At 49.5% G+C, this 21,188-nt stretch overlaps 1 long non-coding RNA gene across 1 annotated transcript; it reads left to right on the top strand.

Moving 5' to 3' along the window:
- The first annotated feature begins 8,585 nt into the window (after positions 1-8,585).
- LINC02744 (long intergenic non-protein coding RNA 2744) lies at positions 8,586-15,364 on the top strand. The gene is made up of 4 exons (NR_183635.1): positions 8,586-8,722; positions 13,860-14,035; positions 14,436-14,725; positions 15,089-15,364. It is a non-coding gene; the product is annotated as a long intergenic non-protein coding RNA 2744 (long non-coding RNA).
- The last annotated feature ends 5,824 nt before the right edge of the window (positions 15,365-21,188 follow it).

Raw genomic sequence — 21,188 nt, 5'->3', positions numbered from 1 at the left:
ATCCCTTCCCTGAACATTTATTCTTTTTTGAGGTAGGAGTCTTGCTATGTTGCCCAGGCTGGTCTTGAACTCCTGGGCTCAAGTGATCCTCCTGCCTTGGCCTCCCAAAGTGCTGGGATTACAAGCATGAGCCACTGCACCCAGCTAAACATTGCTTCTTCATGGAAACATTCCTAGCCCCAGTCTAGTTATGTCTCCCTGTCAGCACCCTGAACTCCTCCTTTGCAGTAGTTTGTGCTCTCATAAATGCTAAATTAATTTTTAATTCGTCTGTCTTCCCACCAGACTGTACACTTCATAAAAGAAGGCACCATGTCTATTTTGTCAACTACCATTCCCAGTGCTTTGCACACTGTCTGGTATACAACAAGAGTTCCAGAAATGTTGGAGCTTTCAAGTCTGTTAGGGCCAATAGGATGATATTAGGCAAATTATAGGTGCTGTAAAGCATGGCCCAAATAAAACACTACAGTTGATTGAAGGAGGAAGGAGAGTGATCTGGCTGTGGATGAGGAAGGGTTTTGAGAAGGAAAAGTGAAGGGAGCTGGGCCAGCCTTTTCCTGTGGTAAGAATAAACAACATTAAGGCTGGTGCAAGAAACTCTGTAGTGAATATGGAGGCGAGAGCAGTCCACTTTGCCCAGATTATACATTTACAGAATGAAAAGACTAGCTAGAAGGATGGCTTAAAATGCCTTGAGGCCAGAGCTTGGAGGGTATTAAATATCCAATTATTTGGTGGCCAGGGAAAGCCACTGAGGATTTTTGAACAGGTAAAAGACTTGATCAGCTATGCTGCTGCTGCTTCTTCTCTTCTCCTCCCCCTTCACCTCCCCCACACCATCTTTTTTGGTGGGAGGATTCATGGTAGCAATGGAGCATAACCTAGACTGGAAGGGAACAGAGGCTGGAGTTGGACGTCCATCACCTGGACTATTGTTCAAGTACTTGGGTGTTAGTCTTGAAAACAAAGGAGCTGAGTCAGGTGTGAGAGATGTGGTGGAAACAAACTTCGTAGGACCTGGCATCTAATTACTTAGGAGGATGAGGGAAAGGGAACACTCAAAGATGAACTGGTGCTTTCAATCCTGGTTTACCCAGAGGATGGTGGTATCTTTACTGTCATCAAAGAGCTGGTTTGGTGGGGAGTCCAGACTGAGTCGGAGAGGGGAGGGGGGAGGAATTAGGATGAATTTGCCTTTTATAGCTAGATGAATGTAATTCCTGGTATTCTTTGATGAAGAAAGTCTGGGGGCTTCTTCCCTGCTATGCTCAGTCCTCCAGGAGCCTCTGCCAGTCAAGTGGACGGGAGATCCGTCTTCACTAAGAGATCTTTTTCTCCCTAATAAATAACAATGCTAAATTACAAGTGTGTGGGGGCGGATCAGGACGTGGCTCCTCAATCCTGCTATTGTGTTCGCGCTCTGGGTAATTAGTGTCTGATAGTTTTAAACAGATGGGTCTCTCTGGCAGCAGGGATTACAGCTTGAAATCAATCCTGAACAAATATTATATTAATTTCTCAACTCCCTCTCTCTGTGGACAAAATCAGTTCTTTTCCTCCGAACACTGTAATGATGAGAACATTAATATTGGATCATTTAGAGATGAAACGGAAGTTGTAGAGGAGAAAGAATGAACGGGACTTCACAGGAGCTGAGGAGGAGGCAGATGCTAAAAGTTTCATGTGGCTCAATGCAGACAGGAAGCAGGAAAAGGAAATTCAGAGAGCACACAGGGCAGGTGGCGGGGGCTGGCGATGGGTAGTTGTTCAGGGTTCCAGCGCTCCTGAAATGTTCAGCCTTAGCTTGAGGTTGGCACCTGCTTTGACAACACCAAGGGCTGTGTCAGGCAGGCAGGGCAGTCTCTGACGCTTATTTCATCTCAGAGAGGAGACCAATTCCACATAAATAGGTCTGCAGGGGGCCTGGCTAGACTTCTGACTTTCCAATCAAACCAGGCAATCTACAATTCAAAACAAACCAGGCTGCCTGGAGTAAGCCTGCAGCCTTCCCACCACCACCCGGGAAGCACTGCCCCTTCTCCTGGACTGTTAAAAGGGACTCCCCCACCTACAACCATACCCCTATTTAAGGGCTGCAGAAAAAGCTCAAGCTCAGTTCCCAGCCTTGGGAAAGAGATGGGCCTGGAAATGTTTAAATGTGCAGGCAGCTCTTGATTATGAATGCTAATGTAATTCTGAACCAGCTCTCTTTAGCCTTGTAGGATTTTTATTTTACTTCTATCAGGCCTTACCTACCTAATCATGCATGGGTCAGGTTGACATTAAAACATGAAAATGAGCAGCAACTGTGGCATGGAGAAAAGAGCACGGGATGTGGAGTTAGTCCTGTTCTGCTAATGAGTCTCCATGTCTGAACATCTCAGTTTCCCTGGCCCTCAAATGGGGACTGTGTCACCCCTCCCTGACAGCACTGTCGAGAAGATCAATGACAATGATGGATGCAAAAGTACCTAATGATTGGTAAAAAAAAAAAAAACCCAAGCCCGGGTGGGATTATGAAAACGGTGTTGCCTTCTGTGCACGGGATTCCTGGGGATGGAAGGCTGAGAGAGAAAACCCACCTGCAGGTGAACATGGAATATGGATGCAGGTGATACTATTGCGAAGCCCTGTAGAGAGGCTGGGCTGATGGAGTTTTGTGTATAGGGGAGGGAAGGCCACTGAAGGAGGCAAGAAGTATAATAGGATGGAGGGTGTTAAGAACTGTGAAGGGTCTGGTATTTTACCCTACTCACACACTAATAGATTAGCATGCCATAGTTACATGGATGCTGACAGAATACATGAAACTCCTGGGTCAGAGACAAAGGACTTCATTACTTACAGCAATAGCAGCAGCCAGAGTCTCAACTTTGGTGCAGTTCCCCAAGCTCCACTTCCTACGGGGTGACTGGAAGATGGCCAGGTGATGCCCGTGCATCTAGTGGGGAATTCCGAGCTTAGGGAACCTGAATCTTTTATAATGGGAAGAAAGCCAGCCTGACCCTTGCCTTTTGCCTCAGAAGGAGACATTATCTTCATTACATTGGACACTTAACTAGTTTTCCTTTTGCTCTGGAGAGAGATTATCTCTGTATTCCAAAGCTGTTTGGATTTTTTTTCAAATCTTTTAAGTTCTGCTTCCTTTTTAATTAAAAATTCCATCTTTAATTTGTTTCTCTCTGCTTGCATTTTGCATTTTACTATATAAGCATTCAAGAGAAGCCAAGCCATGGCTTCAGTACTTTGTAGACATTTATTCAGCCAAATATGCTATGTCATTGCTCGTAAGTTCTACCTTCCACAAAACACTAGGACATGAACACAATTCAGCCAAGTTCTTTGCCACTTTATAACCAGAACTGCCTTTCCTTCAGTATCCAATAATACAGTCCTCATTTCTGTCTAAGGCCTCATCAGAACGGCCTTTGCAGTCCATATTTCCACCAACATTCTGTTCGTGGCCACTTAGATAATCTCTAAGAGGACTGAAACTTTCTCTACCAGTCTCCTTTTTTGAGCTCTCACCAGCATCCTCCTTTACAATCTATTCATGATACTGTAGGATTTTGCCAGCACGCACCTCAAAACTCTTCCATATCTACCCATTATCCAGTTCCAAAGTCACCTTCCCACTGAGGTACTGGTTATATAGAGCAGCACCCCCACTTCTAGCTACCAATTTTTACCTTAGTCCATTTGGGTCACTATACAAAAGTGTCACAGACTAGGTGACTTATAAACAACATAAATTTATTTCTCACAGGTCAGGAGACTGGGAAGTCCAAGATCAATATGCTGGCAGATTCCATGTCTGGTGAAGACCTATTTCCTGGTTCATAGATGGCACCTTCTCACGGTGACCTCACGTGGTAGGAAAGGGGAAGGCAGCTCCTTGGGGCCTCTTTTCTAAGGGCTCTAATCCCATTTAGGAGGGCTTTGCCCTCATGGCCTAATCACCTCCCCAAAGGTCACACCTCCTCAAAGGTCACACCTCCTAGTGCCATTGTCTTGGGGATTAGGATTTTAACATGAATTTGGAGGAGACAAAAAATTTGATGAAATCATCCACTGAGCTAAGATTTCTTGTCTAAAGTCTGCCTTTACCTAGAAGCTCCAAGAAAGCAGGGACCACGTCTGTCTTGCCATCCATTTATTCCTGGCACAAAGTAGGTACTCAATTGGTACTTGTTGAAGGATTAGTTAATTATTTCACTTAAATCCAGGCCAGGCCGCACGTGGTGGCTCATGCCTATAGTCCCACCATTTTGGGAGGCCGAAGCGGGTGGATTACTGGAGGTCAGGAGTTCAAGACCAACCTGGCCAACATGGTGAAACCCCGTCTCTACTGAAAATACAAAATTAGCTGGGAGTGGTGGCGTGTGCCTGTAATCCTAGTTACTCAGGAGGCTGAGGCAGGAGAATCACTTGAACCCAGGAGGTGGAGGGTGCAGTGAGCCGAGATCGCACCATTGCACTCCAGCCTGGGTAAAAAGAGTGAAACTCCATCTCAAAAAAAAAAAAGAAAGAAAAAAAAAAATCCAGGCCAGTTAGGCCAGGGGCCATGAGGGATGCCCCATCTGGAGCTGGAGAGGCCAGACAGGAACTCTGAATCTTCTGCTCAGACGTTTGGCCTCCTGAGAATGTTCCTATGAAACCCAAAAGACCCTAACCCACCCTTTCTACTATAACCCAAGGGATTCTCTTAGGGAAAGATTAAGGTCCCTGATATGGTTTGGGTCTGTGTCCCCGCCCAAATCTCATGTCAAAGATAACCCCCATTATTGGAGGTGGGCCCTTGTGGGAGGTGATTGCATCATGGGGGCAAAATTTCCCCTTTGGTGCTGTTCTTATGATAGTGAGTGCGTGATCGTGAGATCTGGTTGTTTAAAAGTTTGTAGCATCTTCCCCTCTCTCTCTTCTTCCAGCTTTGGTTAGACATGCCTGCTTCCTCTTCACCTTCCCCAGTGATTATATGTTTCCTGAGGCCTCCCCAGCCATGCCTGCTATACAGCCTGTGAAACCATGAGCCAATTCAACCTCTTTTCTTTATAAATTACCCAGTCTCAGGTATTTCTTTATAGCGGTGTGAGAACAAACTAATACGGTCCCTAAGCACCATCTTATCTATTTTGGGGACATACTTTCCATACTAGGCCCAGGTCAGCAGAGCTTCCAGGGGCTGAGGGCCATGATCCTGCCATAAGAAGTATCATCTTGATGCTAGGAAAGGAGGAGTGAAGGGAGGGATGGAAAGTAACTTTGGGTAAACACTTAGTATGGTCCAGTACTTTACACACTTCATTTTATTTAACCATTGCCTAATACCCTTGTGTGAAGTTAATAGTTTCCCTGTCTTATAAATGAATAGAATGGAAGCTCACAGAGAGGCTGATGGTCTTCAAGGCCATAGAGCTTCTTAATGGCAAAGCTGAGATTCCAGACCAGCCCCATTCAACATGGTGCTACGATGACGTCTCCCTTCCTCTCTGTTTTGGGAACGCATTCATGGAGGGGTTACTGGAAGTCAAAAGGTTCACTGTCCTGGGTCTCCATCATTCAGTAGATAAGCCAGAAGTCCCACAGAGCTGGAAGTCCCCAGATAGGCACTACTGCATAAAGTACAGAGCCCAGGACTCAGACACATGCTCAGTGACCCTAGTTAGGTCACACCCTCACTTTCCTTTGTGTCTTCACATGTAAAATGGGAGGTATGGTTGGCCTATATGCTTCCAACATCCCTCCCAGATCTGACCCCAGGCTCCAGTGGGCTGCTTTCATATCCTGCAAATGCTGAGGCAGACCACGCCAGGGTCAGGTTCACTATGCCTAGCAGGAAGGAAAGGATGTCATTCTTAACTTGACCTTCATTGCTGATCATCCCTCCAGGCCCTGACACTTCAGGTCCAAATTAAAGAGTAGGAATAAGAGACTTGAGAAGAATGAGAACCCTTAGCCCCCAGCCTCCATATTTTCTTTAATAGGTTTAGCCAACTAGAACAGTGGTTCCGCCTTGGTTGCACAGTGGAATCACTTGAAAAATGAGAGAAGCAATTTGAAAAATGCTGATGCCTGAGCCTCACCGCTGAGATTCTGTTTTAATTGGTCTGGGGTGTGGCCCAGACATTGGAATTTTAAAAAGGTTCCTGGGTAACACTAATGTGTAGGTTGAGAACAATTGAGTTAGTATAGATTGCATTACCCTTTGTACCCCATGGCAATATTTTGAGAAAGTGATGGCCTAGCCTTCTGATCGGAACGGCTGGACATTTATTATTTATCCCAAAGAGGGGCTACAGGATTGCCATGTGTCCTGTCCCTGGACACTCCAGATAGCCCTGCTTGCTGTGTGTTGGGTGAAAATGCTCCTATAATTTTCATTTTAGCCTCTCCATCTTCCCAAATACCAAGTTTTCTGGCTGCAGGGCACTGGCCAAGAAAGAGAAGTATGAAGGCAATGTCCAGGCAGCCGCAATGTCCAGGCAGCCACAATGTCCTGTTGGTTAACGTGCCACCCCACCAACTGAGTCGAGGGAAACCAGGGCCTTGGATTGCAGAAGCAGCAAGGAGGGCTTGACCTGCTCACCCTAAGGAAATGCCACTAACATGGGCCTGGGTAACCCTGGAGTTGCTGTTGGGCTGGGCAGGGCTGGGATTTATTCCTTCAGTCGTTCAAGTGCTGAGTCCTGCACTTGGCCATCAGGGCAGGGTTGCAGGATGGTGGTGGGGGAGAGGGAAGGAGAGCAGGGCCCCTTCGGGGCTGTCTTAGCTCTAGGCTCTCCCCGTTAGTGCTGGCTCATCAGCCACTCAGGTCCATGCATCAGGGACACCAAATATCTAAAATCTCAGGCCACAGCTGCCCAAAGTGTGTTGGTGGGAGAGGACAAACTAAATCCCTGTTTTCATTTCTTCCCCCAAATGGAGCTCACGTAAAGCCTTTAAACCATTGGCTTTTATCTGTTTTTAGTGTCCAATTTAGGGCTTTGCAGGGGCTCCCTCCAGGGCTTTCTCAATGGATTTATATCACAGCCAGATAGCATCTTCGAAAGCTCATCTGAGCTGGAAAATAGAGAAACATCCTTCTCTATTGTCAAGTGACAAGTGATGGCACCCAGGCAACTGGCTTGAGTGCACAGGGAACCCACTCTGGATGCCATGGCTGGGGTGGTCCCTGTCTTGAGAGGGGGCTAGCCAGAGAGGGGAAGAAGGGAGAGGCCACAGCAGGGTTCTGAATTGTCTTCCTACTTCTGAGAGCAGAGACTCCGACTCTGAAAGCTTTTCAACAAAGCACTAACTGTCCTCTCGGCCCGTCACCTGTGGGCATGAAGATGTCATCTCCCTGGCCAACCACCAGGTGCCATTTGCAGACACGTGTGCATGGGGGATGGAGTGGAGGGGGCAGAAGAAGCCTGCTCTGGCTTGCCTGGTAGCAAACAACAGCCCTCTTCTTTTAGCTGGGCTGACTTCTTCCAGCTTCCACCAGGAGCTGCATTAACCCCCTACTCTCTGCCTAGTTTTCCTCTCCTAAGTGGGGCATTTATCTGTTTTTTCTCCCCATGCACAGTTTTTTTCTTTTTTGAGACAAAGTCTTGCTCTGTCACCCAGGCTGCAGGGCAGTGGCATGATCTCGGCTCATATGCACATTTTTGAGCATCTACTATAAGCCAGGCAGTGTTAGGTATGGGGACCCCCATCCTCAGGTTGCTCGTGGTGAGTGTGAGAGACAGAGAAGCAAATAGGTGAAGTGGAGGCAGCAGTCCCTTGTAAAGAGGGAAGGAAGCATTAGGCGTTGGGTTGATCCAAGTTGGAGCAGGGAACCTGGCCTGGTGGCTCAGGAGTCTTCCCAGAGCAGAGGCCCAAGGACTGTAAACATCCCAGGTAGGAGTGTAGAGACAGAAGCCTTCTTTACCCTAAGAGATCGAGGTCCTAATGAGTATTCATAGGATTTCCAGGACATTCCTAGTTTATACTTGTTGTCCTGGCAACATTTTCATTCTAAAAATGTCACAGTTTGGATGTCAAATAGGCATAGATCAGAACTGTTTCTGAAAACCTATGAATACTATATTCATAGGGCACGTGTCACCCAGGGCTGGAATTCTGTTTTGTGATGCAGAGTCAGCATGCCTGGTGCATCTTTGCGAGTATACATGGTGAAGAAGTGTTGTGCAGAGTGTGCGTGTTGCTCCATCGTGTCACTAGACATATTGAAAGTGACTTGGTGATTGGACATAGTGGTCATAGACACAATAGAGAGCATTTCTGGACTGAAGTCCAGAAAGGGAAAGGAGAGGAGTAAAGAGGAAAAGAGAACAGTGGTGGGTGCCTATAAAGAGCCACACACCTTGCTGCATGCTCTATATGTGGGCTATTGTTTGTTCTCACAATGAATCTGAGTAGTAGATATAGCATGCCCATTTTCCAGGTAAGGAAACTGAGGGTTAGAGAGATTCTGTAACTTGTGCAAGGTTATAGGCTCTAAGTAGCAGATTAGTTCTGACTGGAGGCCAGCGTTTCCTCGGGCCTCTGTGACATCACAACGCAATGGGAGTATGACTTGGGCAGCTCCAGCTGGCTCCTCTGCTAGTCTTGCCGCAGTCACCAGTTTTGGAGGAATGGGAGAGGAGCTTTCCACTCCTCTGAGAGTCATGTCGAGAGTCTGTCTTAGCCCTCGACCCCTCAGTCTTTGTAGATCTCATCCCAGAACCCCGAGGGAGAGGTAGGAAGAGGGGCCTCCACTGGGGAGAAGGCCAGAGACATGCTGGGCTCTCTTTGGGGTCTGGCCCTGTCCCCGCCAGCCGTGGGCTCTTGGGCACATGGTGGGTGTGCATGAATGAGCCAAAAGATCCTGCCAGCATTGGTGTGGCTATGACTCCCACGTTTCTGTCCCCACTTTTGCCATGGGCCCATTCTGATTCTGGGGGTTAAGTGTGGGAAAACAGCATCTTCACAAACCCTGCTGCCTTCTCCTTGCAATATTGGAAAAGCAGATTCCTTGGCCATAGCTAGGGCTGAGGGTCCAGAGAGGTTAAATGGAAGCCATGGAGGCTGCCTTTGCCACCATGGGGACATCAGCTGTGAGGGTGCTGTATGACGCTCTGCTCCCTGGCCATTGCTTTGCCCTGGGCTCCAGGTCCCTAGAAGGGACAAAGGTTGGGGATTGGTTAGAAATCCCAAGGGAGCTCTTTCCTGGGTTTGAGTTGGGGAGGAGGCTGGGACTGCTTGTTCCAGGCTCTTGAGCAAATAGCCCTGCGAAGACTTGCCTCTGCAAAGTTCCATTGGCATGAACCCCCTTGGCTGGCATCCCTTCCCAACGTCAGAGCCCTGCCCTGGCCCTGGCTCCCAAGCTCAGAACACCTGCCTTGTCCCTGCCCCCACAGGGGGGCAGTGGTTCCTGCTGATTAGCCAGGGCTGAGCTATGGATTAGAATAGGACAAAACCATGAAGGAAGGAGATCATTTGCATATCCAGACTTGTTCAGGTGGTGGTGTCAGGGGTGTGCCAGAACACTGAGCTCTCACGTCGCCTTTCCCAGGTGTGAGAGCTGGCCTCACCTGCAAAGCACCAGGTGGGGCTCCACCTGGGTGTTCCTGGTTGGAACTGTGGCCCTGGCTTGAGGATACCTATAGACTATAAGGGTGCTAGCCCCAATCATCTGAGGGCATGAGGAGAGACAGAAGGACCCTGTTCTCCGACCTTATGCCCAATAGGGCCAAGGACACTGAGCACATTACCAGCCCCCGCTGGCTGTCTTTACATCTTACACCCCTGGCTGTGACACCAACCTCCAACCAGGGGCCTGGTGCCTGCAATCCTGGGGACTCACTGCAGAACTGGAGCATCTGTTTTTCCAAACTAGGGCCATCAAACTCCACCCTCAGAGCAATTTCACACATTTCTTTGTGTTTGTGATACAGTGCGACTTTGCTCTCCCCCACCCTGCCCCATAAATGCCCCCAGGTCAGAGGGTGCCTCTCACAAAGCATCCAGGGTCATTCTGGGCCTGGAAGGAACTCCTGTGTGGTGCCATTTGAATAAGAAGCCAGGCAAAGTGTGTCCATATGAAACAAATCATTGGGTATATCTGGTACCTGAGGGAGTATTTCACATCTGCGTTCTCATTCAAGTTTTCTACTGTGTCCTGTGAGGTGAGCAGGACAAGGATTATCACCCTGTACTTTCTAGATAAGGAAACCCAGGACCTGGGAGGCCAAGGCCAGGGCAAGAGTCAGGCAGAGAGAAGACCAGAGCGCAGGCTGTGTGGGCTCCTTCCACTATGCAGCAATCAAGGCTCCCTCCCCTGTGTGGGCTCTTTGGGTCTAACCTGGGAACCAGGAGACTTGTGAGTGCTGAGCAGCTGTGCCCCAGCCCGAGCCACAGGGAGGCCTTACGTTGAGAAGCCCACACTGTGTTGGCCTCCAAGGAGCCTGGAACCGACGGTGCCCCATAGAGAGGGCCCTGTGGGGAGGAGGCTAGCCACGCAGACAGCCTGCTGCTAGGTGTGCCGTGGAACCACGGAGCTAATTGCAGATCTGGTCACCACCATGCTGAGCGCCAGGGAGGAGGGAATGGGGAGACACTAAGCCCACGAGACAGGAACACAGTGCCTGGTGAAACAGAGCCAGCCAGTGCTGATGCAAGTATTGACTGAGTTCATAACCTGATCTGCCGTGGGAGGGGGAATATTTGACAGAACGCATCAGCCGAGGGTGGTGAGCCAGGCACTGGGAGAGTGAGCAAGACAGGCCAAGCGGGGATGCCCTCGGCCACGACCACCTTCTCTCAGGGTCTTTCCACCCTGATGATCCCGAGGAACCCAACGTGCCCCCTACGGCAATTCCGTCTGTTTCCAACTCCTCATTGGCTTCATGTGGGCTTCCCGGGTTCATTGCTCATCTGCGTGGAATCTGCTGAAGCCACAGCACTGAGCTGAAGCTCACTGGTTCTTGAATGTCACTAGCTGCTCCTGTCCCTGGGCCATTCAATGTCAGTGTCCGCCCTGTGGCTCTTCCTTGCTTTCTAGCTGCCAGTCAGCCACTTCCCGTCTTCCTCTCTTCAGTCCTCTCTCCCTTCCCCAGTGCACCTTAAACCCTTCTGGCTGCACTGATGGGCTCTCCTTTCTAGCATTTCTGTCTGATCTCTGACCCTAACCCTGTCCTGGCCTGGGAGTGCCCTGAGATCCTGACTGCCCTTCTTGGCTCCCAGGCAGGGCTCAGTCCCGGGAGATGGGCCTTAGGAGGTGCAGACTCCTGCTGGGCCAACTTAGCATTTTCCACAGCAGGTAGGCAGGCAGTCACATGGTCACATGGCCCATCCCAAATCTCTACATCACAACCCAGATTTTCTCCATTAAGGGTATCGATTTCCTCAGCTGAACTGCTGGGATCAAAGGCAGCCTTAGCAACTCGGCAGTTCATTAAGTCCCAGCTGTCCCAGGGGACTGGCCTGGTGGATAAACATGTGAGCAGGTGGCCATGCTGGGACCTTGAGGGCAGCCTGCTGCCAGGAGTGCTCAGGCTGGACCTGGGCAGGGCAGCAGGAAGGGCAGACCTCAGGCTGCCCTTTTGTCCCCTCCCTCCAAGAACTGGGCTTTGGGGCCCTCCCCAGGGCCCGCAGGAACCATATGGGGATACTGCACCTGCTCCCACCCTGCTCCTGCCATTTTCCTACCTGCCCTCCCACCAGATACCTGCCAGGCCTTGTGCTGGGCACTGAAGATGCAGAGCTTCCTAAGCCTCTAACCCCACCCTCAAGGAGCTCCCACTCCAGTGAGGAAGGCAGACCCCATACCATAGCGTTACCAGGCTGCGTACTAACATCTGATCGTCAGAACCATTCCCAACTCAGAGATTAAGTGTGATAGGCAGCCTGTTTCAACCAGAGCATTTCCTCTAGATTTTTGTTCTTGCTTTTCAAAGTGACTCATTGGAAAAATTTTGGGTGATACAGACCCTGAAGCACAAAGTAGAACATGAAATTTACACTAATCAAGGCTGTTGGTTTTTCCAACTTCCCTTCCCTCTGCCTGATCTGGAGACTGAGGTAAAGCAGAGCACACCTGGATGGGGTTGGCCCTGCGTCTCAGGCCAACAGTGTCTGTCCTCCACAGGTGAGGGTAACCTGAGACGGTGCCAGGAGGGAGGATGCAGCTTTCCTCTTGCCCCCAGCCCCGGAACCTGAACTTTCTCCTCCTGAGCTCCGATCTGCCTTCACTTCCCATTTGTTCTCTCTCATTGCCCCCCAACTCACATGAATGTGAGCACTTAGATGCAAGGACTTTTTAGGGAAATTAAAGGTGTACAGTACCCCCACTCCTTCCTTCTTTCACTCCCTTATCCTGAGGACTAAGAGGAAGAGCTGAAGGGGCAACGTTCCAGGGGACTATTAGAGGCCAGGAGACAAGCGGGCCTGGCAACAAGCCACGGTTGCAGGTGCTGACCGGCCCCCTCATCCCTCCCCACTGGGTGCCCAGGGTGTGTGAGGTGGAGGTGGCCCTAGAGGTGGAAGAGCTGCCCCCTGAACATGCAGGGCCTGTGGTTTCACTGAAGACAGCAGGTTAACATGGAGGAAACAGGATGAGACAGGGCAGGCTGGCTTGTGGTCTTTTCTGAGTGACCCCTAAACCAGGGACTCAGACAGGTCTGGGGCTGGGGAAGCTGCTGGGTGGGAGCATTTTCCCCAGTTCCTATAATGCAAAGTAACAGTCACTTCTCTTGCTCCAAAGCTTCATTGCTGGCTGCAGTCAGAGTCTGGGCTCTTGCCCACACTTCGTTCTTCTCCTCCAATCACAGGGAGGGGTTGGTGGAGTCACTCGCTTGCCCAGTCATTCCATCAGCAGATGTTTGCTGAGTGCTGATTGGGTGCCAGGCACTGTGCCTGACCCTGGGGACACAATGCTGAGCAAAACAGACATGGCCTCTTTCCCCTAGCAGACCTACATCTGAAGGCAAGCATCCCAGTTTTCAGCTTGAAACCACCCTGCAGCTCCAGGGATGGGACAGGCAGGTGGAGAGAGGAGTTTGGGTTGAGACTGTATAAAGACTCAGACTGAACCCTTACTCTTAAATTAGGCAGAGATCTACTACTGCCCCCAAAACACCCTTCCCCAAAGAAGGGCCGCTGGGAAGGGGTGTGGGGATAGGGAACCAACATTTGTTTAGTTCTGAAAGTGCTAGGAATAGGGTAGGCTGAGTGCCTCACATTTCTTGTCTTAATCCTCACCAAAACCCTGGGAGGTGAATATCATAATCCCAATTTGCAGACCAGGAAGCTGAGGCTCAATGGAACAAATTATCTCATCATTATCGTGGGTAATGCATAACCCGGTCTGGCTGCAGGGCCTATGCCTTTTCCACAACATCATTTATCTCTGGGAAACATACAAGACCTTCGTTCTGCCCTCTGAGCACTGCAGACATGTGAAGACCTTGACCCCCTGGGAAATTGTTCCCACTTTCTGCTTTGAAGAAAATGATAGAGGAAGTGCCAGAGTGCACTCTCTTCCCTTTCTAAACGTCGGCCTCTCTTTTCCCTCCTGCATCTTCCTAGTCCTGGAAATCCCTGTTGTCCCCGCCTTTGTCCCAGAAAATCCCAAAAACGCTTCACGTGAGTCTATTTAAATCCCCACTCTCAGCACTCAGGACCGGTTCTGGTTTCCTGGTGTGGCCTGGGCCTCCATCTGGTTTGGAGGCTATTTTGATCCACCGGATGCAGATTAGCTGCTGCGATCTGGGGCTGAGCTGCTGGAGAGATGCCTTTATCTACAGAAGGACAATTTGAAAACTAACTCAAAGCATCGAGAACAAATAAATAAATTCCTCTTTCCGTTCCCAGCACTCTCCATCCTATTTCTACAGGTAATTGCTGAAGGATTTTTGCTTCAAACAGGCTCTTGTTTGCATCAAGTGTGGGGTGCAGCAAAGTGGACTCGGGACTGGCCGATGTCTGGCCAGAAATGCCAGGCAAGGGAAACAGTGACTCTAGTGGGGTCAGGAGAGGGGCATCTGCTGGCCCAGGAGCGCAAGGCAGAGGGGTGAGTCTTTCTCAGGTCGGTATCAGGTCCATTCATTTGCTTTGATGTAAGCCTTCTTGGGCAGGAACCATCTTCCCCTTCTCTAATCATCGAGGAAAGGGGCCTTCAGACCTGCGCTGGCCTGGGCCCAGATGAGGCATGCTAATTTCATTGTCAGTGTCTTGATGTTTCAGGAGCTCATGGCACTTGAAAATATGGGCTTTGCATCATGCAGATGGGTAGCGATGAGGGCTACCCTTGCTTGCTTGGGAGGCAGAGGGGGCTCAGAGGTGGGAGGTAAAAAAGCTTGCAGCTTCTGAGAAGCTGTGGGTATAAGGGAAGAGGATGAGAAGGAGAGAAGCCTGAACATCTGTAAACTTCTCATTTATTCTTCACAAAGACTTCATTGTCCCCCTTATAGGTGAGGCGACTCTGAGGCAGGAGGTCCAAGTTTGCTGGACAATGGCAGAAACAGAATTCAAACACCTGTCTTCTAGGAGAAGTTCTGGTCTCTCCTCGGTGCTGCGGCTGCCCCGGGAAGAGTTTCCAGGAGCTGACAAGCATTCAGATGAGTAAAGATGGGATCGGATTGAGAAAAGGAGAAGGGAGAGCATATTCGTTCTCTTTCCACCTCCCTCCCACAGCCTTTCATGCTGATCTCATCTGACGAAGCTGCCTCCTCCTCCCTGGACTCTACAAGCCCCTGTCATGGTCAGTGGCAATGTTGTCCACAGTGGGTGGCCAGCCTTGATCTAGCAGTAAAGGATGGATTCTGTTATTTCAGTGATGTGGGGCTCAGGGTAATGAAAGTGATCATCAAAAAGCAAAAGTAAAGCTGTCCTCACAGGGTTAACAAGAATTCTGGGCAGAAATACGGCTATAATTAGGCATTAATCAGGCTGCACTTTAACCCACTTCCTTGTAACTGACAGACACTGTAGGACTAGATACTGGCCGTTTGCATCCCTAATGTTCCTATAGATGGGATTTCTGATGTTAGAGCTATAAGGCTTTTAAGACAGACAAGATCTTTGACATTAGAATCATAAGGCTCCTGTTTAAAAATTGCTTAAGATGTTTCTCAGATCCTGAATTCCAGCGAAACAGATGATACTAACAAGTTTGAAGACCCCCACAGAGGAATGGAATCAGTATGAGAACACAGTTTCTTCATCTCCCTGTCCCAGAACTTCACCCTGGACTCCTCGACCAATCAACAATCTCCACACTTCGGCCCACTCCAAAACTCCTAAAATCCCAAGCTCCAAACTCCTCTGGGAGATGGATTTGAGGCTTCCTCCCGTTTCCTTGTGTGGAAGCCCTGTCATTAAACCTCTTTCTCTGCTGCAACCTGATGTACTTGGTGTATTGACTTGCCATGCACATTGGGCAAGGGATCTATTACGCTTACAAGAGCACCTAGAAAGGGCTGCTCTGGGCTGGGTGTGGGGCAGAGTGAATGGGAATGGGAACACTGTGGACCTTGGAGCATGCTGGAGAACCCTGAGCCTTCAGTCTAGGCTCACCTTGTGCTGATGGGGCATGTGGCCTTCTCCCACAGACCTAGAGAGTGGATAGAGGTGACAGCATTAGGGACCTTGCATTTGTATGCTTGTCTGAGAGGCCACTACGATGACCCCTCTTTATAGATGAGAACAGAAGGCTCAAAGAAGTCAAGCCCAAGGTTGAATACATAGCAAGGTATGGATCCAGCATTTGTATCCAGGAGTGTCCCATTTCAAACCTAAAATTTCTACTAAAGAGGGAAACAAACAAAAACATCAACAACTACAAGTTGGAGGGCTAACTTCATAGTGTATTTTGCTGGGCACTTTGAAGATAGCATCTCACATAGTTCTCTTAGGGTCCCTATTTTGCACATAAGGAAACTGAAGCTGTGATAGGTTCATACTTTTCTGTGAGTAACACAAATCTTAAGCCAGGGCCAGCCCCAAAGCCTATGCTCTTAACCTGAAGACAACCTGCCACTCAAAATGTATACCTAAACAGACAAGACCAAGTGCTAACATTTTATGCTGGGCAAATATGGGTACTATTTGGATTGAAGGACAAGAGAAGGGAGCTTAGGGAGGGAGCATGTGTTGAATCCCTTCCTTCCTGCCTGTCTGCCTTGGTCTCAGCCCCTGTTGGAGTGAGCATTGAGCAAAGTGTAACATATACCTCTGGGGGTTTTGTTTTTTTGACATAGGGTCTGGTTCTGTTGCCCAGACTGGAGTGCAGTGGCATGATCATGGCTCACTGTAGCCTTGATCTCCTGTGCCCAAAGGATCCTTCCATCTCAGCTGGAACTATAGACACGTGCTGCCATGTCCCACTAATTTTTTTTGTTTTAATTTTTTGTAGAGATGGGGTCTCGCTATATTGTCCAGGCTGCTCTCAAATTCCTGGGCTCAAGTAATCCTCCTGCCTTGGCCTCCCAAAGTACTGGGATTCTAGGCATGAGCCACCATGCCCTGCCCAGTATATACCTTTGTTTATGTGTCTACCACGTGGCTGGAGTGGAGCTCTATGAGGACAGGTCTGGGACATGTTTCTTTAGTATCCAGCTGAGGTGTAACAAGAGTTCATAGCAACCAGTGCTTGCAGATGAGGAAGTAAGGCCCAAATAGGCTAAGAGGTCCTGAAACCCAGAACTCTTAAATTGTCAGTGGTGGCAGATCAGATATCTCCTGTGAGTTTGTAGAGGATGCTGTTTTCGAGTACAGTTGACCCTTGAACAACACAGATTTGAACTGTGCGAGTCCACTTGTATGTGAATTTTCTTTAGCCTCTGCCACCCATGAGGCAGCAGCCAACCCCTCCTCTTGCCCACCAGCCTACTCAACATGAAGAAGACAAGGATAAAGACCTTTATGAGGATCCACTTCCACATAATGAATAGTAAACATATTTTTTCCTCCTTATGATTTTCAAATAACATTCTCTTTTCTCTAGCTTGCTTTATTATAAGAATACAGTATATAATACATATAACATACAAAATATGTGTTAGTTGACTGTTTATGTTTTCAGTAAGGATGCAGGTCAACAGTAGGCTATTAGTAGTTAAGTTCTGGGGAAGGCAAAATTATACGCAGATTTTTGATCATGGCGGGGAGTCAGCACAGCCCCTTAACCCCTGCATTGTTCAAGGGTCAGCCATACAAACACCTTCCTAAAGTCCCTCCAATCACCCCACAAAATCACCTGATTTTTCTTCTTCCCTTAGGTCAGTTCTGCTACTGCCCCCTGCAATGTTAAGAGCTAAGAATGTAGAAATCAAACTCGTAGCACAGGGAAGTCCAGGTTGTGCCTAAGTTTCATGACGCTCATTTTGTAGGTACCAAAACTGAGGTTCTGCAGAGGGCAATGCTACAAACGTAGACCTTTAGTCCTACTAAAAGGCCAACATCCCCCAGCAATAAGGTGGAAACAACAGCTCCACTCTCAAGGCTTAGACCTTCCCAGGGACCTCTCCTGCCGAGTGAGTGGTGTGGGCCTACGCGCTACCAGATATGATTCGCCGTCAGGCTCGCGCTCGAGGAATGCAGGAGCTGACTGGGTGAGATGCTCGGAGCCAGCGTGCTCTGCACGTCCCTGGTGGCGGAGGAGATGGATTTAGATGGTCCAATTTTTGTGGCTACTTTCCATTTGTGACAGGGGATAGGCTTTCTATATATGGTAATGATGTAAAATTCCGTTTTAAAAAGCATTTAAGTAAAGAAAATGAGTCAATTTAGAGGCAAGAATGAAATAATGTGATTTAACTTTAGAGAAACAGAGATTGAAGGGGATCTGAAAAGGTACTCCTGCCCCAGAATTATCTCCCCCAGCAGTTCATGGAACTGGGACAAGGTGCTGCCCATTCTGGGAAGCTGCTGTTCAAGCTGCAGGCTTCCAGAGCCAAAGGCTGCCCAGTCTGATCCTCACTGCAGGAATGAAGAGATGGAAGCCCGACCACAGGTCACCGAGGGGGGAGTCACCAATGACAGCTTCTGAAAGAGCCTGGCTTTGATTCAGTTTCCCACTCAGAGCCAGGAGCTCAGGGCTTGGCTGATCCCCGCTATCCATGTCCCCTCAGTAAAGTAGAGAAGCTCTGGGCAAGGTTTTATGCACAGTGTGCTTTAAAACAACCTAGGGAGCCTTGAAACAATACATTTGACTGGGCCCCATCCCCAGAGATTCTGATTAGGTGGTCTGATTTGGGGGCAAGATTCAGAGATGCTGTTCTTTAAAAATCTCCCCACCAGCCCACCCTAGGCTGGAGACCAAGGTCCTGACATGAGATGCCTGGGCTGTACAGGACTCGGTTTACTCTATCCCCCTTCAGCATTCTCAAGGCTCATCCAGTCCCTAATCAGAAAGAGAAAAGAAACAGACAAGGGTGGGGGGTGAGGGGAGAGAGTGAAAGAGAGAGTGAGAGAGAGACAGACAGGAGGAGCACAGGAGAGAAGAGAGAGAGTGAGAGGAAGGCAGCAGTCATGGCCTTCACACTTGGGCAGGTCTGGTTTAATTCTGGCTGCACCAATGATATTTGCAGGAGGTGTTGCCCAGAAGATGTTTCTCAACTTCTTTGAGACTTGGTGACCTTGCTGGTTCAATAATGATAATATTAATCACTGTCTCATTAAGTGGTAGTGAGGTTTAAATGAGATAACCCACGTAAAGAGCCCAGCACAGTGAACAGCACACACTGAGCCCTCTGTACAGGCTAATTCTCAGCATCTTCATCTCTAACACAGGGCCAGAAGCCAGGATGATCCTGTTGTTAAGTGAAGCCAGAGACTCAGTTGGAACATTCTTCAGGGCAGAAAAGGAGTTCATTAAATGGCTCAGAATTAAGATGGGCAGGAGCTAAAGAAGAGTGAGACTTAATTCCCTTGCATACCCAGGGGAAGGGGTCTCTTTTGGAAGAGATTTGCATTGGCTTTAGTTGATTGCAATTACGCTATCCATTGCCATGCTGAAAATAAAATGAAACCCTAACAAAGTTCCAGGTTTAATTGAAATTTCCTGGGATCTGTTATTATATCGCTGTGATTGTTCTGTGCCACTAATGAGGCTGTGCTAGCTGATTATCCAAGTGTCTCTCCAGTCACTATTCCGTTATTGCATTATTAATGATCAGATATGATTGTCACAGTCGATAGCTTGAACATCAAACAGGCAAGAGACAAGTCAGACAGCCAGGCAGACAGACAGATGGCAAGGGTGGGTGGGGCGGGGCAAGTGGGTAGGCTGGGCTAGCCGACAACCTGGTACCCAGGGTAGGCGGGGGAAGGGGCATGGCCATGTTAGTGCGATGAGGGGCTGAACTGAGGCGGGAGGCAGGGATGGAGGAGGCGGTGGTTGGGGCATGATGATGGCAGGAACCAGTCCTTGCAAGTTGGTGAGTTCTAAGGGTCTATAGCTCTCAACTCTCCACTTATCTGGAGAAATAGCCAATGACTCTTGGTCAACAGACAAAACAAGAACTAGCATTTCTAGATCAATGAGATCGCACAGCTTGGGAAATGGGAAAAGGTCAGTGTAAGGGGCAGGTCACTCTTCCTTGGCCAGCCTCAGGGAGCATTTTGAAGAGCTGCTGAGCTCCTCTCCCCTTCTCTGACAAGCCTGGATGTCCACAGTGGGGACTTGGGGTGCAGTGAGAAGGGCTGGTGGGCCCTGGAAAAGGCTTTGGAACAGGAAAACGGGGAGGCCTGTCCTTCCTAAGACAGCCATGTGTCCCGGGCACTGTGGGGAAGACCTGCCCCCACCGGTGAGGTGGGCTCAACAGCGCCCTCTCAGCCTGCTTTTAACCAGTGACCTCCCAGCACCCCAGAATGACTGGAAGGGAGCCCACGTGTTGGTACTGAGGGAACTTTGAAGAGTTTTCTGGAAAGTACCAGCATTGGCCTGTGCTAGTGGTCTTCCCTAGAGATGGTGGGGAGCTGGGCTTGGGGGCAGACTGAGGAGAGGAGCCCCTGCCCCTGCACATAAGCAGGAGGACTCTTTTAACTCTGGAGCACCCACAGGCATCACAGCTGGGTTTCCCTGCCACTTGCCCTGTGGGCCTTTCCCCACCCCCTTTGGGGAGGCACCCTTTCCTGAAAACACCAGATAGGATGAGGTCATATTAGGCACTCGATGGCTGCCAAATTTCATTCTTCAAAGACCAGCGTTGCGCTAACGTGAAATGCAAGCCAGGAACAGGAGGGAGGAGGGGGCTGGACTGATGAAATGGAGGGGGAGAAACCCACATGCAGGAGAGAAGGAATTGACATTTGAACATGGTTTTGTAATAGGAAAACTGATCCCAAGGCTGCTCCCGCCCCCCAGTGATGGGCCGCTGTGGACGCTGTGGTTTCCCTGAAGCCCGTGGTGGGGGTTGCCTGTTCCGTCAGACTTGCTGCCTCCAACTCACTGTCTCCATGGCGAAGAGGCAAAGGGCTGGGGGCTCCTGCAGCCATGGTTTCCCTGGCAACACTCACCAGCAGCCCAGCCCGGGCTGCACGTACCTGTTTGTCCCCACCACCACTGCGAGCTATTTTGGAGCAATGGAAGCCTCTGCCTGCACAGCCACCCACGGTCCCATGAACCCACACACAGGAGCCCCCTCTGTGGGCTCCTGGCACCCATCCACCCACGGCTCCCACCCAGAGCCTGTCCAGCCTGCAGGGAGCTGTGCTGAGCAGCCAATCACAGAGAGGCACTTGGGGATTGTGGGATGCAGAGACCCCGGGGTAGGCACAGCCTGGACACCTCCTCCTCCAGCCCTCAAGCCAGAGACTGAAGAAATCCAAGGCGAGAGCTTGAATGAGGAAGATGCACTCACCACCACCTTGCAGTCCCCCTGCCATGACCCAGGGCCTGTCAGTAGTAAGGATTATGACGGACACCATCATCATAATGCCACCATACCAAACTTCTGTCCTCCTAAAGTAAGCAGAACTGTTATTATTATCATCCCAAGTTATAGAAGATGAAGCTGAGCCCCAGAGAAGTTAAGTGACCTACTCAAGAGTAGGACCACACAGCGAGAAATGGCAGGCTCAAACCCAGTATGCAGTGAAGTGTCCGGCCCTGGGTATCTGGGAAGATCTTTACCCGCAGTGTGCTGGTCATGCTGTGTGCATAGCAGGGTGGGGATTAAGGGCAGGGAATAGAGAGAAATGGTGGCCCTGACCTTGGGAAG

This window comes from Homo sapiens, chromosome 11 (genome assembly GCF_000001405.40).
Source record: "Homo sapiens chromosome 11, GRCh38.p14 Primary Assembly".
Lineage (NCBI taxonomy): Eukaryota > Metazoa > Chordata > Mammalia > Primates > Hominidae > Homo > Homo sapiens.
The sequence above is the reverse complement of the archived record's forward strand: the minus strand, read 5'-3'. Positions and strand labels throughout refer to the sequence as shown.